This window comes from Homo sapiens, chromosome 8, assembly GCF_000001405.40.
Source record: "Homo sapiens chromosome 8, GRCh38.p14 Primary Assembly".
Taxonomy (NCBI): Eukaryota; Metazoa; Chordata; class Mammalia; order Primates; family Hominidae; genus Homo; species Homo sapiens.
In genome coordinates, this window is record NC_000008.11 from 102,899,415 (window position 1) to 102,912,681 (window position 13,267).

The following is a 13,267-nucleotide window of genomic DNA, read 5'->3' on the forward strand; positions in this document are numbered from 1 at the left end:
CCCAATACCTACCCTCAAAAGAGCTCCAGTAAGGCTTCCTTATCTTTCCTTGCCCTGCTTCCTACACTGCTGCTGCAGGTGTCTCTGGGTGATTGTGGGGGAAACCACTGTGGTTAAGCACCAACACCAAGACATGGCACCAAGCTATCTTCTCCCTCACCGTACAGCCAGGCGGGCTGCTTGGTGGATTTGGGGTCACCCTCTCCGTCTGTCTCTCCCTGATAGTTACATTTCTCTTCCATCACTGTGTGTTTGGCAGTGGATGAACCTAGAGCATTACATACATTTTTTAAAATTTATTTTTTTCTGTTACTGATCTGAATGGGTAGATGAAAATTACATACATTTTTAAGAGAGCACTTACTATATGCCAGGCATTGTTCTAAGTCCTGTACACATCTTAACTCTTATCCTCATAAAATGGCACAAAGTGGGTAGCACTATTATCTCCATCTTATAGATGATAAAAATTGGGGCCCACAGAAATTAAGTAACTTGCGCATGTTACGCAGCTGATGAGTAGGAATCTGGGCTGCTTAATCCTTTGCTTCTCTTCCATAGTGGTTCTAGCGTGAGTCAGAGTGTTCATTCAGACATCTCTTCCTGGGCATGCTAGCCCCATCCATGGTTGGGTTGCTGCTGCTATAACTGGCTCTTGGTGGCAACACTGAAATTATATCAGGTTCCCAGGTGAGCGTGTTGCTATTTTAGGTGGTCAAGGATAATATCGCAGAGTGCTGTTGATATTCTCCACAGGGTGGCTCTGAACGAATCATCTTCCTCTGGGACACCCTCTTCACTTGCTTTGTATCTGGGCACTGTGACTCAGTTTCTAAGGTTATCAACTACGAGTGCTAGATACATTTGGTGGCGTCATTGCCTATTCGTAGAACATGCCGTCAGCCATCCTGGAAAGGCATACAGCAGAACACCATAAGAGGAGCAGTATTTGGGGTCACTCCCCAAATGACCCTGCAGGAACATGCCAATTCCAGAGCTTAAGAGGGAACTTGGAGGGAGTGAGGATAATAATAGCTAATGCTTATTAAGCCCTTACAATATGCCATCTCTGATCTAAGCACATTCTGGGAACTACCTCATTTAATCCTCACCACAACCAGCTGATGCAGATCCTATTACTATCCCCCATTGGCAGATGAAGAAAATGAGGCACAAAGAGGGGACCTGATTTCCCACAATCACCAGGCTCATAAACGGGATCCAGGATTCCAACACAGCCAGCAGCTTCAAAGATTGGGCTCAAACATGGTGCTACAACTGGCCCCTGAACCCATGTCCTTCCCTGTGCTTTATTTTGGGGAGATGAGGACTTTCAGCTATCTTATTGCCATCTCGTTTTCAGCCTTGAAGGAGCCCTTAGAAATAAAGTGAAAAGAAAACCTGGCCTGAAACAACTGCCAAATCCCAATTAGGGAACAAGGTTGGGAGGAGAGAGGAGGGGGCAGGATCTGACCAGGTTGTAATTCAGTAACTGATGTCTCTAATTGATCACTGAGAGGAAGAAGCAGGAATGGCCTTCTCAGTCAGCATTCATGGTGGCAGGAGAATCCAGGATCTGTTCCTTGACCTTCTTGTTCTGGAAATGAGACTTCAGCCCTGTTCATCCTTTGGCTCCCACACTACCTACTGGACTCTCCTTGCCACCTGTTGCTGCTGATTGCTCACCCCCATTTCTAAGACACTGACAGGAAGGAAGGGTGTCTCCCAGCTGGCAGCATAGGTTTCATTTTAGCATCCGAAAAGCTGAGCATCACCACTCCGATTGCTGTTAATTATAACATTAGTACTTTATTTTGGATGACGTTTAAAAAGTTATGCAAAGGCCAGACATGGCCAGGCATGGTGGCTCATGCCTGTAATCTCAGCACTTTGGGAGGCCGAGGCAGGCAGATCACCTGAGGTCAGGAGTTAGATACCAGCCTGGCCAACATGGCGAAACCCGTCTCTACTAAAAATACATCCCATAGCTGGGTATGCTGGCACACACCTGTAATCCCAGCTACTTGGGAGGCTGAGGCAGGAGAATTGCTTGAACCTGGGAGGCGGAGGTTGCAGTGAGCCAAGATTATGCCACTGCACTCCAGCTTGGGCAACAGAGTGAGGCTCCATCTCAAAAAAACGTTATGCAAAGATATTTGCAAATATTATATCTGATAAGGGATTAATATCCATAATACATAAGGAACTACAACTCAACAACAACAAAAAATCGTATTAAAAAATGGGCAAAGTATCCTGCACGTGTACCACTGAACTTGAAGTAAAAGTTGGAAATATTTTTAAAAAGGGCAAAGTAGTTGGGTGTGGTGGTGCATGCCTGTAGTCCCAGCTACTCGGGAGGCCAAGGTGGGAGGATCACTTGAGCCCAGGAATTCAAGGTTGTAGCGATCTATGATCATGCCATTGCACTCCAGCCTGGGTGACAGAGTAAGACCCCATCTCTGAAAAAAACAATGGGCAAATAATTTGAATAGACCTTTCTTCAAAGAAGGTATACAAATGGCCAATAAGCATATGAAAAGATGTTTAACTTCACTAGTCACCAGGGAAGTTCAAATCAAAACTACAAAACCCATTAGGATGACTGTTATCAAAAAATGAAAAATAACAAGTATTGGCAAGGATGTAGAGAAATCGAAACCCTTGTACATTGCTGGTGAAAACGCCACCTGGTTACAGCCACTGTGGGAAACAGTTTGGCTATTCTTCAAAAAGGTAAACAGAATTACCGTAAGATTCAGCAATTCCACTTCTAGCTATATATCCAAAAGAATTGAAAGCAGGTATTCAGAAATTGTACATCCATGTTCATAGCAACATTATTCAAAATAGCTTAAAGGTTATTGAGAAACAACCCAAATGTCCATCAATAGATAAATGGGTTGACCAAGTGTGCTATACACATAGAACAGAATATTACTTGGCCGTAAACAAGAATGAAGTCCTGATACATGCGACAACATGGATGAACATTGAAAACATGCTCAGTGAAATAAGACGGACACAGAAACACAAGTTTTGTATGATTCCACTTGTATGAGATACCTAGAATAGGCACATTCATAAAGAGAGAAAGTAGAACGGACACCCGGGACCAGAGGGAAAGGAGAAATGGGAAGGTATTGTTTAATGGGCATAGAGTCTGTCTGGGATAATGAACAAGTTTTGGAAATGGATAATGGTTGCACAACATTGTGATGTAGTTAATGCCAATGGATTGTACACTTTAAAATGGTTAAAGTGGTACATTATGAACATTTCACTATAGTTTTTAAAAATCAACAAAAAATTTTATGTAAAAAGTTCTGTGGGGTTTAATCTTTTAGCAGTTCATAAATCCATTAACATTTGCCACAGCTACCCTACAGAGAGGCATACTATGTGAACACCACACTTGGCTTTCTGAGCTGGAACTAAAAACACCATTACTCTACTCCTTGGAGTTTCCCCAGAGTGAGTCTGTCCACACGTGGTTGCTATTGGACCCTACCTGTTGCTACTGTATCACTGTGCTGTGTTACTAAGGAGTGTGACACGTTCTGACTTTCAAAGCATTTACACAGTGAATAATACCACTTTTGTGCTCCTTGGTATAAGGCCACATCTTCAAGTACTTCAGCATTTAAAAAAAAAAAGTGAGCAAAGGATTTATCTGGCTAGAGTTTAAACTCCAATCATTATTTAGTCAGGGACAGAGCCAATTGTAGTGTTTAAACAGCATTATTATTTAGACAGGGACAGAGCCAAGTTTACGGAATTCTGGAAGGCAAGCTTAACCTCGGGGTACCTTAGCAGTGTTCTATGTGCTGGTCCTGAGCATTTAATCCAGAGCAAACTGGTGATCCATTTATAACCCAAGTTTTCTCTGTAAACTGGAAATAAAAAGATGGATAAGGCATAACTCCTGCTGTCTGTCATGGGGTTGAAAGTCTAACAGAGGCGTAGAAATAATGCGACTAGGGTACAATAAGTGTTAATCAGCACATATTCAAAGTGTGTTGGGTGACTGGGGTCAGGGTCCAGGGCAAGGTCACAGAGATGAGATGGCATTTGAGCCACATCCTGAAGGAAGAATGGAGTTTTCCAGGATGACAAAACACAAAACGAAGGAATATGCATATTCCTTTTGCATATGCAGAAGGAACTGCATATGCAAAACCTCAAAGCATGGCAGGATGGGACACCCAGAAAACCACAAGCAGCCGTGTGTGGGTAGAGCAAAGGCGAGTAGGAGAGTGGCAGATCCTGAAAGGACATAGAAAGAACTGAGATTTTGTCATAGCTCAATGGGCAACATGGGCAACTGTTGAAGGGTTTTAAGTGTGGAAGGGGCCTGGAGGGGCATGATCAGGTTTTCATTTCAAAAAAGAAATTTAAGTCTGGTGGATGGATTTGAAGCTTGGGACAAGGAGACTAGTCTGAAGATTGTCAGAGGAATCCAGGTGAGAGGTGAAGAAAGCCCAGGTTCCAGAGCTATTTCAGAGGCAGCAGAGACAAGAATTGTAACTATTTCACTAGAATGAAGTTCAAAATGAGGTCACCGTTCCTTTCATCTTGGAATTATAGCAAGGTGAAGCCCGCAGAGCTGAAGGGCAGCTGGTTCCTCCTGTACCCGCTTCTTGTGGCCAAGCCGCAGGAGCCTCAGCCTTGCCATGGGAATGGGGCCTGTAGCTGCTTTTTCTCTCTCCTTCCTCTTCTCTAGGGCACCCTTACTCAGCCTTCCTAAACTATTTGAAGACATGGCCTTTAAATTTCCTGTTGTCTTAATTTATTTTTTTTTTGACTCAGTTTTATGGATACTTCAAAAATCAAGAAAGAATAAGAAGATAGTAAAGAATGTTCCTCTCAGCCACCCTGCATCCATCCATTTCCCACCCCAACCTGCAAAAGGTAACCACTGGATGGGCCCGGTGGCTCACACCTGTAATCCCAGCATCTTGGGAGGCCAAGGTGAGCAGATCACTTGAGCCCAGGAGTTCAAGACCAGCCTAGGTAACATGGGGAAACCCCATCTCTACAAAAACACCAAAATTAGCTGGACGTGGTGGCGCATGCCTGTAGTCTCAGCTACTCGGGAGGCCGTGGTGGGCGGATCTGTTACTAGTCTCTTATGTATCCTTCCAGGGATTTTTGTAAACCTATAGTCAAGCAAATATGATTTTACGTTCTTCCTTTCCCCCTTTTATTTCCATTCTTTCTTGGGGACAGGGGTCCTTCTTAGGATAAAGTTAGGAAGCCCCAGGGGAACTCATTCAGACCTAAGGAGTCAGTCCTAGTTGCCGTTGTCTATTAGTAAGCCCTTTTCCTCTGCAATACCTTACAGTCTAAGGGCCCCAAACAAAAAGCCTTCCAGTGGGGCAAGGCCTGATTGCCTTAGGAGGCCCCACAATGGCCGAGGCCTCCATCTATCCCTGGACCTACTGAAGTAACTGAGGCACCCATGCTGGCCTGCACCAGACAGTGTGTGTGAGACCCTTGAACACAGTGGAAATGCAGGCATCACTGAGGCACCCAGCCTCAGGCTGAGGACAGAGTGCCTGTGCTGTAATTAGATGTGACTCCTCCACAGCCAAGAGGGCCTACACTCTCAGTGACGATTCTTCCATGACATTCAGGCACTTTCCCCAGGTACAGCCATGGCAGAAGATGGCTGGGCACAAGGGACCAGCTGCACGCTGCTCCTGGAGTCAGCTCTCCAGGACAGGCCTCAACCTTGGGCCTCTTCAGAAGCACTGCTCCTATTTCTTGCCAGCCGATCTCAGCCCAAGCCACCCAAGTCTGCACCCCCCTGAGTACAGTGGAGATATTACATTAACTTTGAAATAAAAGGAGAGACTCTAGGTCTCACTGCTCCCTTCCAGAAGCTTCTTTTGCCTCTTGCAAACATGGGTGGCTTTGGGAGGAGTGCCAGCACACTTCATATACCAGAAGCACCTCAGCCCTGAGGTCTTGGGGACATAGATAGGTTCTTCATCTCACGTGATGGGGACTGAGCTCTTTTTGGTGGGTAAAGTGGATTGAAATAAAGGAGGAGGGCTGACAGGAATTTGAGACTAGCCTGGGCAACAAAGCAAGACCGCATCTCTACAAAAAATAAAATAAGGTTGGGTGTGGTGGCTCATGCCTGTAATCCCACCACTTTGGGAGGCCAAGGCAGGAGGATTGCTTGAGCCCAGGAGTTCAAGACTAGCCTGAGCAACATGGCAATACCCCATCTCTACAAAAAATACAAAAATTAGCCGGGCATGGTGGCGCGTGCCTGTAGTCTTAGCTACTCAGGAGACTGAGGCAGGAGGATCACCTGGACCTGGGAGGTCCAGGTTGCAGTGAGTAAAAGAAAAGAAAACTGAGACCCATGGAGGTTAAGTAACTTACTTTTAATCACTGTTACTTATTTTTTTCTCTTTTTTTGAGATGGAGTCTCACTCTGTCGCCAGGCTGGAATGCAGTGGCGCGATCTCTGCTCACTGCAACCTCAGCCTCCTGGGTTCCAGCGATTCTCCTGCCTTAGCTTCCCAAGTAGCTGGGACTACAGGCGTGCACCACCAAACCCAGCTATTTTTTGTATTCTTAGTAGAGACGGGGTTTCACCATGTTGGCCAGCATGGTCTCAATCTCTTGACCTCGTGATCTGCCCGCCTTGGCCTCCCAAAGTGCTGGGATTACAGGCATGAGCCACTGTGCCCAGCCCAATCACTGTTACTTTTAAGGAAATCCATTTGACTACTAAGGCATAATGTCACAGTGGCTTAGACAAAATAGGAGTTTCTCTCTCATGTTAGTCTCATCATGAGCAGTCCAGGGCTGATAAGACAGCTGAGTCTTGTTGGGGACCCAGGTTTCTTCTTTCTTGTTGCTCTGCCTTCTCTAGGGAATACCCTATTCCACCTTGTCAAAGATGGAGCAATGCCACCTCTGCATTCCAATGGAAGAAATGGGAGGAAGTGGAAGACACAACCTTCCCTTTTAAGGGCATAACCTGGAAGTTGGGCTCATATTTCAATGGCCAGAATGTGGTCCAATGGCCATACCCAGTTGCAAAAGAATCTGGGAAATGTAGTCTGACTGGAAGGTGACTCATACAGCTAAAATTCAGGGAAGAAGGCGAGAATGGATAATGGAAAACAAATAGGAATCTCTGTCACAGTCAGAAGTCGAACTGGGATTCAAACCCAACAGTTTGACTTCAAAGCCAGAACTCTTAACCATAATCTTCATTATGCTGTTGTTTTAGAAGAATTAAATGAGGTCCACAGTTGGTAAGGTCTTTCTCTACAGTTTGAGACTTCATTAACACATGTATGCACATACATTTTTGCTAAATGGATAGATTATAGCTGCTCTTGCCATAATATTATAACGCTTACTGTGAAAGTTGTTCAACATTGATGGGGAATCAAGTAATGTTTCCTTTTTTTTTCTTTTTTTGTTTTTTTGCCTTGAGACAGGTTTTTACTCTATCACCTAGGCTGGAGTGCAGTGGTGCAATCTTGGCTCATTGCAGCCTTGACCTGCTGGGCTCAAGGGATCCTCCCACCCCAGCCTCCCAAGTAGTTGGGACTACAGGTGTACGCCACTTGTAGTCAAAAAATAAAAATCAATTTTTAAAAACTGATTTGTAGAGGCAGGGTCTCTCACTATGTTGCCCAGGCTGGTCTCAAACTCCTGGGCTCAGGTGATCCTCCTGCTTCCCTTCCCAAAATGCTAAGAATACAGACATAAGCCACTGCCTTTTATCCTCTTCTCATAGACTTTCCATTTTTAGTATTTTTTTGTGAGTCTTTCTTCTTTTTCTTCTCTTTATTCTCCTCTCCCTCCTTTTCATGCCTCATACTTTATGATGCTTGGTATATGAGGCCATCATCAGTTTTATAATTTTTTTCTGCATCGGATTGTAGGATTGGGCTTGGAAATAACTGCCCCACCAATGAACTTTCTAACCTTTCACAAGCAAGTGGGGCAAACCAGGGTAACTTCTTTTTTTTTTTTTTTTTTTTTTTTTTGACACAGTCTCGCCTTGTTGCCCAGGCTGGAGTGCAGTGGTGTGACCTCGGCTCACTGCAACCCCTGCCTCCAGGGTTCAAGCAACTCTCCTGCCTTAGCCTCCTGAGTAGCTGGGATTACAGGAGTGCGCTACCATGCCTGGCTAATTTTTGTATTTTTAGTAAGACATGGTCTCTCCATGTTGGCCAGGCTGGTCCTGAACTCCTGACCTCGTGATCTACCTCTTTGGCCTCCCAAAGTGCTGGGATTACAGGTGTGAGCCACTGTGCCCGGCCAGATAACCTTTAAGAATTCTTAGAAGCCCAGAAATAAAGCCAAACCTATATGGTCAACTAATTTTTGGCAAGAGTAACAAGAAGACACCTGGGAAAAGAACAGTATCTTCAATAAATGGTACTGAGAAAACTTGATTTCCACAGGTAAAAGAATAAAATTAGACTCTTACACCACATGCAAAAATCAACTCAAAATGCATGCAAGACCTAAGCATAAGACTGGAAACAATAAAACTCCTAGAAAAAAACACAGGAGAAAAGCTCCTTGACATTGGCCTTGGCAATGATTATTTTGCATATCATAGCAAAAGCTGAGGCTACAAAAGTAAAAATAAGTGAGACTGCATCAAACTAAAAAGCTTCTGCACAGCAAAGGAAACAATCACCACAATGAAAAGGCAACCTACAGATTGGGAAAAAAATATTTGCAAACCATATATCTGGTAAGTTGTTAGTATCCAAAGCTTACAAAGAACTCATACAACTCAATAACAAGAAAACATATAACCCAATTTTTAAAATGGACAAAGGACCTGAATAGATATTTCTTCAAAGAAGACATAAAAATGGCCAACAGGTATATAAAAATAAAACATCAAAACCACTATGAAATGTCACCTCACATCCATGGATAGCTATTATCAAAAAGACAAAAGATAACTGTTGGCCAGAGTGTAGAGACAAGGGAACCCTTATGTGCTGTTGGTGGGAGTGTAGTTTGGTGCAGCCATTATGGAGAACAATATGGAGGTTCCCAAAGAAATTAAAAATAGAACCACCGTAGGATCCAGCAATCTCAGTTTATACCCAAAGGAAATGAAATCACCACCTTGTAGGCTGGGTGGAGTGGCTCACGCCTGTAATCCCAGCACTTTGGGAGGCCGAGGCAGACAGATCACCTGAGGTTGGGAGTTAGAGAACACCCTAACCAACATGGAGAAACCCCGTCTCTACTAAAAATACAAAATTAGCCGGGCATGGTGGGTAATCCCAGCTACTCTGGAGGCTGAGGCAGGAGAATCGCTTGAACCCGGGAGGCGGGCCGAGATGGTGCCATTGCACTCTAGCCTGGGCAACAAGAGTGAAACTCCATCTCAAAAAAAAAAAACAAAAAAAAAACAAAAACACCTTGTAAAGATATCTGAACTCCTATGTTCTTTGTGACATTATTCACAATAGCCAAGATATGGAAGCTACCTAGGTGCCCATCAGTGGATGAATGGATAAAGAAACTGTGGTGCATCTATACAATAATATGTTATTCAGCCTCAAAAAAGGAGGAGATTCTGCCATTTGCTACAAAATGGATGAATCTGGGGGACATTATGCTAAGTGAAACTAGCCATACACAGAAAGAAAAATATTATAGGATCTCACTTATATGTGGACTCTAAAGAAAAAAGTCAAATTACAGTGAAAGAGAGTAAAACAGTGGTTACCAGAGGCAGGTAGAGGGGAGAACAGGGGAGATGTAGGTCAAAGAATGCAAGTAGCAAACATGTAGGATGAACAAGTCTGGAAATCTAATGTGCAACATGAGTTAATAATAGTGTATGGCATTTGGGATTTTTGCTAAATGAATAGATTATAGCTGCTCTTGCCACAAAAAGCGGGGGGTAACTGTGTGATGATGGATATGTTAATTTGCCTCACTATAGTAACCATTTTACTGTTTATATGTATCTCATAACATCATGCTGTATACACACAAAATAACATTTTTTAAAAAAATACTTAGAAAATATGAGAATATTTAAAATTAGGATACATCAAACATCATGATTTTGCCACAATTTGATGATTTTCATTAAAAGAAAAATTCATGTAATTTGTAACCATTTTACTGTTTATATGTATCTCATAACATCATGCTGTATACTTTAAATACACAAAATAACATTTTTTAAAAAAATACTTAGAAAATATGAGAATATTTAAAATTAGGATACATCAAACATCATGGTTTTGCCACAATTTGATGATTTTCATTAAAAGAAAAATTCATGTAATTTGTTCCCACGTGTTGTATTTTAGGGTTGACATAATAGAACGCTATCAAAATTAGGAAGTTTCATAATGATCCATGTATGTACAACTGCACTCGGGTACCCCTGTCTTCTCTCACCTCTGTAAGAGCAATTTTGTTTGCATCTCTCAAGACTCTGGAGACATGTTTTACAAAAGCAGTTTGAAGTGAGTATTCATTCATTTGGGTTTTCCTGGTGTGGCCCTTTCAGCTCTGCAGAATGCCACAGCAATGAGGAAACTGTTTGTTTCCAAGCAGGAGATGCCAATGTGATGACAGACTTTTTGAAAGCATGTAGCTGGTGGCTGTTAAATCTGCATTTCCTGCCATGCATAATGGTCCATAAGCTGCTGGATGTGAGCAGAGAGTTGGTTAATAATCAAGCCTTCTTTTTCATAGTGTTTAACAATGCAAAGTGCTTTTAAATAATTATTTTAGCTAATCTTAACAATAACCCTATGAGATCGGTAGGGATATCCTGGCAACATAAGAACATATTAAACGTCATTCTCATAAGACAAAGGTCTATTTTCCCCAGTTTAGAACCTAGGTACTCTCTGATAAGTAGAATGCACACTTAAATTATATTATTTTCAACAAATGTCCATTGAGCCCCACCTATGGGCCAGTGGGCACTGCAAGATGTTGGAGAGCTGCAGATGAACAGATGAACAAGACACAGCTGCTTTTCTCAACTCCGTCTCTCAGGAGAGAGACATGAACACCACTATCATCAGATGCTAAAAGTGCCATAATCAATGTCTTCTGGGAAAATGAGGGAGAGGAGAGAAGGTTTCAGAGAGCTGCAGAGGATGTTTGTGCTGATAGGATTCTGTCTGGCAGTGAAGTGAAGGGAGGACATTCCAGGGAATGGGTGCAGCATATAAGGGGGCAGAGGCATGGACTACATGATTTCTTCAGAGAATGAGAGGGGAAGGAAGGATGCATTCGATTAGCAGATGGTGGAGAGCCTTGTTTGCTGTGCCAAAAGGCTTGAATTAGTCCCACAAACCACGGAGGCAGTAAAGAGCAGATCTAGTTAGGTGTGAATCCAAATTCCAAGAACTTGCTGACTTGGGGGAGTTGCTTAATCATCATCTGTAAAATAGGGGTTATACTCAACCTTCTGGGTTAGTTTTGATAAGCACTTTATAAGCTGGTGTATATAAAGTGCTTGGCACAGTGCCTAGCACACAGTAAGTGTTGACTATTAACTACTATCCAGTAATATTTCCTAATCTTTTTTGAATCAGGTTCCTTTGAGAATGAATGAGTCCTCTCCTCATATACAGTATTTTGTATATTATTTAAGGGGATTCACATTATCTCCTGAAACTGGAGTCCAAGATAAGAGTCCTGCTGTGTCTTCTCAAAATTTTTTTAACTTTATTTTTTTTTAGAGCAGATTTAGGTTCACAGCAAAATTAAGAAGATACAGAGATTTACCTTATATTCCCCACCCCTATTCATGTATAACTTCCCTGATGATATCAACATCCCTTACCAGAGTGGTACACTTGTTACAACTGATGAACCCACATTGATGCATCATAATAACCCCAAGTCCATGGTTTACCTTAGGGTTTGTCCTTGGTGTTATATATTCTATGGGTTTAGACAAATCCATAATGACACATACCCATCATTATAGTATCATACAGAGTAGTTTCACTGTCCTAAAACTCTGCGCTCTCATCTGAAGTTTTCTTTCTTTCTTTCTTTCTTTCTTTCTCGCTTTCTTTCTTTCTCTCTCTCTCTCTCTTTCTATCTTTCTTCCTCTCTTTTTTAGAGTCTCACTCTGTTGCCCAGGCTAGAGTGCAGTGGCGTGATCTTGGCTCACTGTAACCTCCGTCTCCCAGGTTCAAGCGATTCTCCTGCCTCAGCCTCCTGAGTAGCTGGGATTACAGGAACCCACCATCATACCCAGCTAATTTTTGTATTTTTAGTAGAGACGGGATTTCGCCACGTTGGCCAGGCTGGTCTTGAACTCCTGACCTCAGGTGATCTGCCCACCTCGGCCTCCCAAAGTTCTGGGATTACAGGTGTGAGCCACCACGCCTGACCTGAAGCTTTCTTTTTCTTTTTTTCTTTCTTTTTTTTTTTTTTTTTTTTGAGACAGAGTCTTGCTCTGTTGTCCAGGCTGGAGTGCAGTGGTGTGATCTCAACTCACTGCAACCTCCACCTCCAGGGCTCAAGCAATTCTACTGCCTCAGCCTCCTGAGTAGCTGGGATTACAGGCACCCACCACCACGCCCGGCTAATTTTTGTATTTTTCATAGAGACAGGGTTTCACTATATTGGCCAGGCTGGTCTTGAACTCCTGACCTCAGGTGATCTGCCTTCCTTGGCCTCCCAAAGTGTGGGGATTACAGGGGTAAGCCAATGCATTCGTCTTTATGTGAAATTTTAAAGCAGGAGAGTGCTAATATCAGGTTTTATTTTTTATTTTTGTGGGGAGAAATACTGGGTATTGGAGAAGGACACCAACTTTGGTTCTCAAATTTTTTTTTTTTTGAGATGGAGTTTCACACTTGTTGCCCAGGCTGGAGTGCAGTGGTGTGATCTCAGCTCACTGCAACCTCCCCTTCCTGGGTTCAAGTGATTCTCCTGCCTCAGCCTCCTAAGTAGCTGGGACTACAGGCGCCCACCACCATGGCCAGCTAATTTTTGTATTTTTAGTAGAGACGGGGTTTCATCATGTTGGCCAGGCTGGTCTTGAACTCCTGACTTCAGGCAATCCGCCTGCCTCGGACTCCCAAAGTGCTGGGATTACAGGCGTGAGCCACCGCACCTGGCTGGTTCTCAAATCTGACTGTACATTATAATTACCTGTAGTGATTCTTAGAAACCCTGGTGCACCCAGCGTCACTCTTAGATATTCTGATTCAGTTGGTCGGGGTCAGGCAGAGCATCAGGATTTTTTACATCTTCCAGGGAATTC

At 43.2% G+C, this 13,267-nt stretch overlaps 1 long non-coding RNA gene across 2 annotated transcripts in view, besides 5 other annotated features; it reads left to right on the forward strand.

Moving 5' to 3' along the window:
- MAILR (macrophage interferon regulatory lncRNA) overlaps positions 1 to 13,267 on the forward strand; it is a 113,606-nt gene that overhangs the window by 35,144 nt on the left and 65,195 nt on the right. The window lies entirely within an intron of this gene.
- Positions 5,656 to 6,231: an enhancer, noted in NCBI's record as "NANOG-H3K27ac-H3K4me1 hESC enhancer chr8:103917298-103917873 (GRCh37/hg19 assembly coordinates)". NCBI's record gives its function as "activates a minimal SCP1, AML or CMV promoter by ChIP-STARR-seq in primed H9 embryonic stem cells {active_cell/tissue: H9 hESC(primed)}" and the evidence as "EXISTENCE:reporter gene assay evidence [ECO:0000049][PMID:30033119]".
- Positions 6,446 to 7,645: an enhancer, noted in NCBI's record as "MED14-independent group 3 enhancer chr8:103918088-103919287 (GRCh37/hg19 assembly coordinates)". NCBI's record gives its function as "activates an origin of replication core promoter dependent on BRD2, BRD4, P300/CBP and CDK7 cofactors, and independent of MED14, by STARR-seq in HCT116 cells {active_cell/tissue: HCT116}" and the evidence as "EXISTENCE:reporter gene assay evidence [ECO:0000049][PMID:35650434]".
- Positions 6,446 to 7,962: a biological region, named in NCBI's record as "MED14-independent group 3 enhancer GRCh37_chr8:103918088-103919287".
- Positions 7,386 to 7,962: an enhancer, noted in NCBI's record as "NANOG-H3K27ac hESC enhancer chr8:103919028-103919604 (GRCh37/hg19 assembly coordinates)". NCBI's record gives its function as "activates a minimal SCP1, AML or CMV promoter by ChIP-STARR-seq in naive H9 embryonic stem cells {active_cell/tissue: H9 hESC(naive)}" and the evidence as "EXISTENCE:reporter gene assay evidence [ECO:0000049][PMID:30033119]".
- Positions 10,447 to 10,741: an enhancer, noted in NCBI's record as "tiled region #791; HepG2 Activating non-DNase unmatched - State 23:Low". NCBI's record gives its function as "activates a minimal TATA promoter and a strong SV40 promoter by Sharpr-MPRA in HepG2 cells {active_cell/tissue: HepG2}" and the evidence as "EXISTENCE:reporter gene assay evidence [ECO:0000049][PMID:27701403]".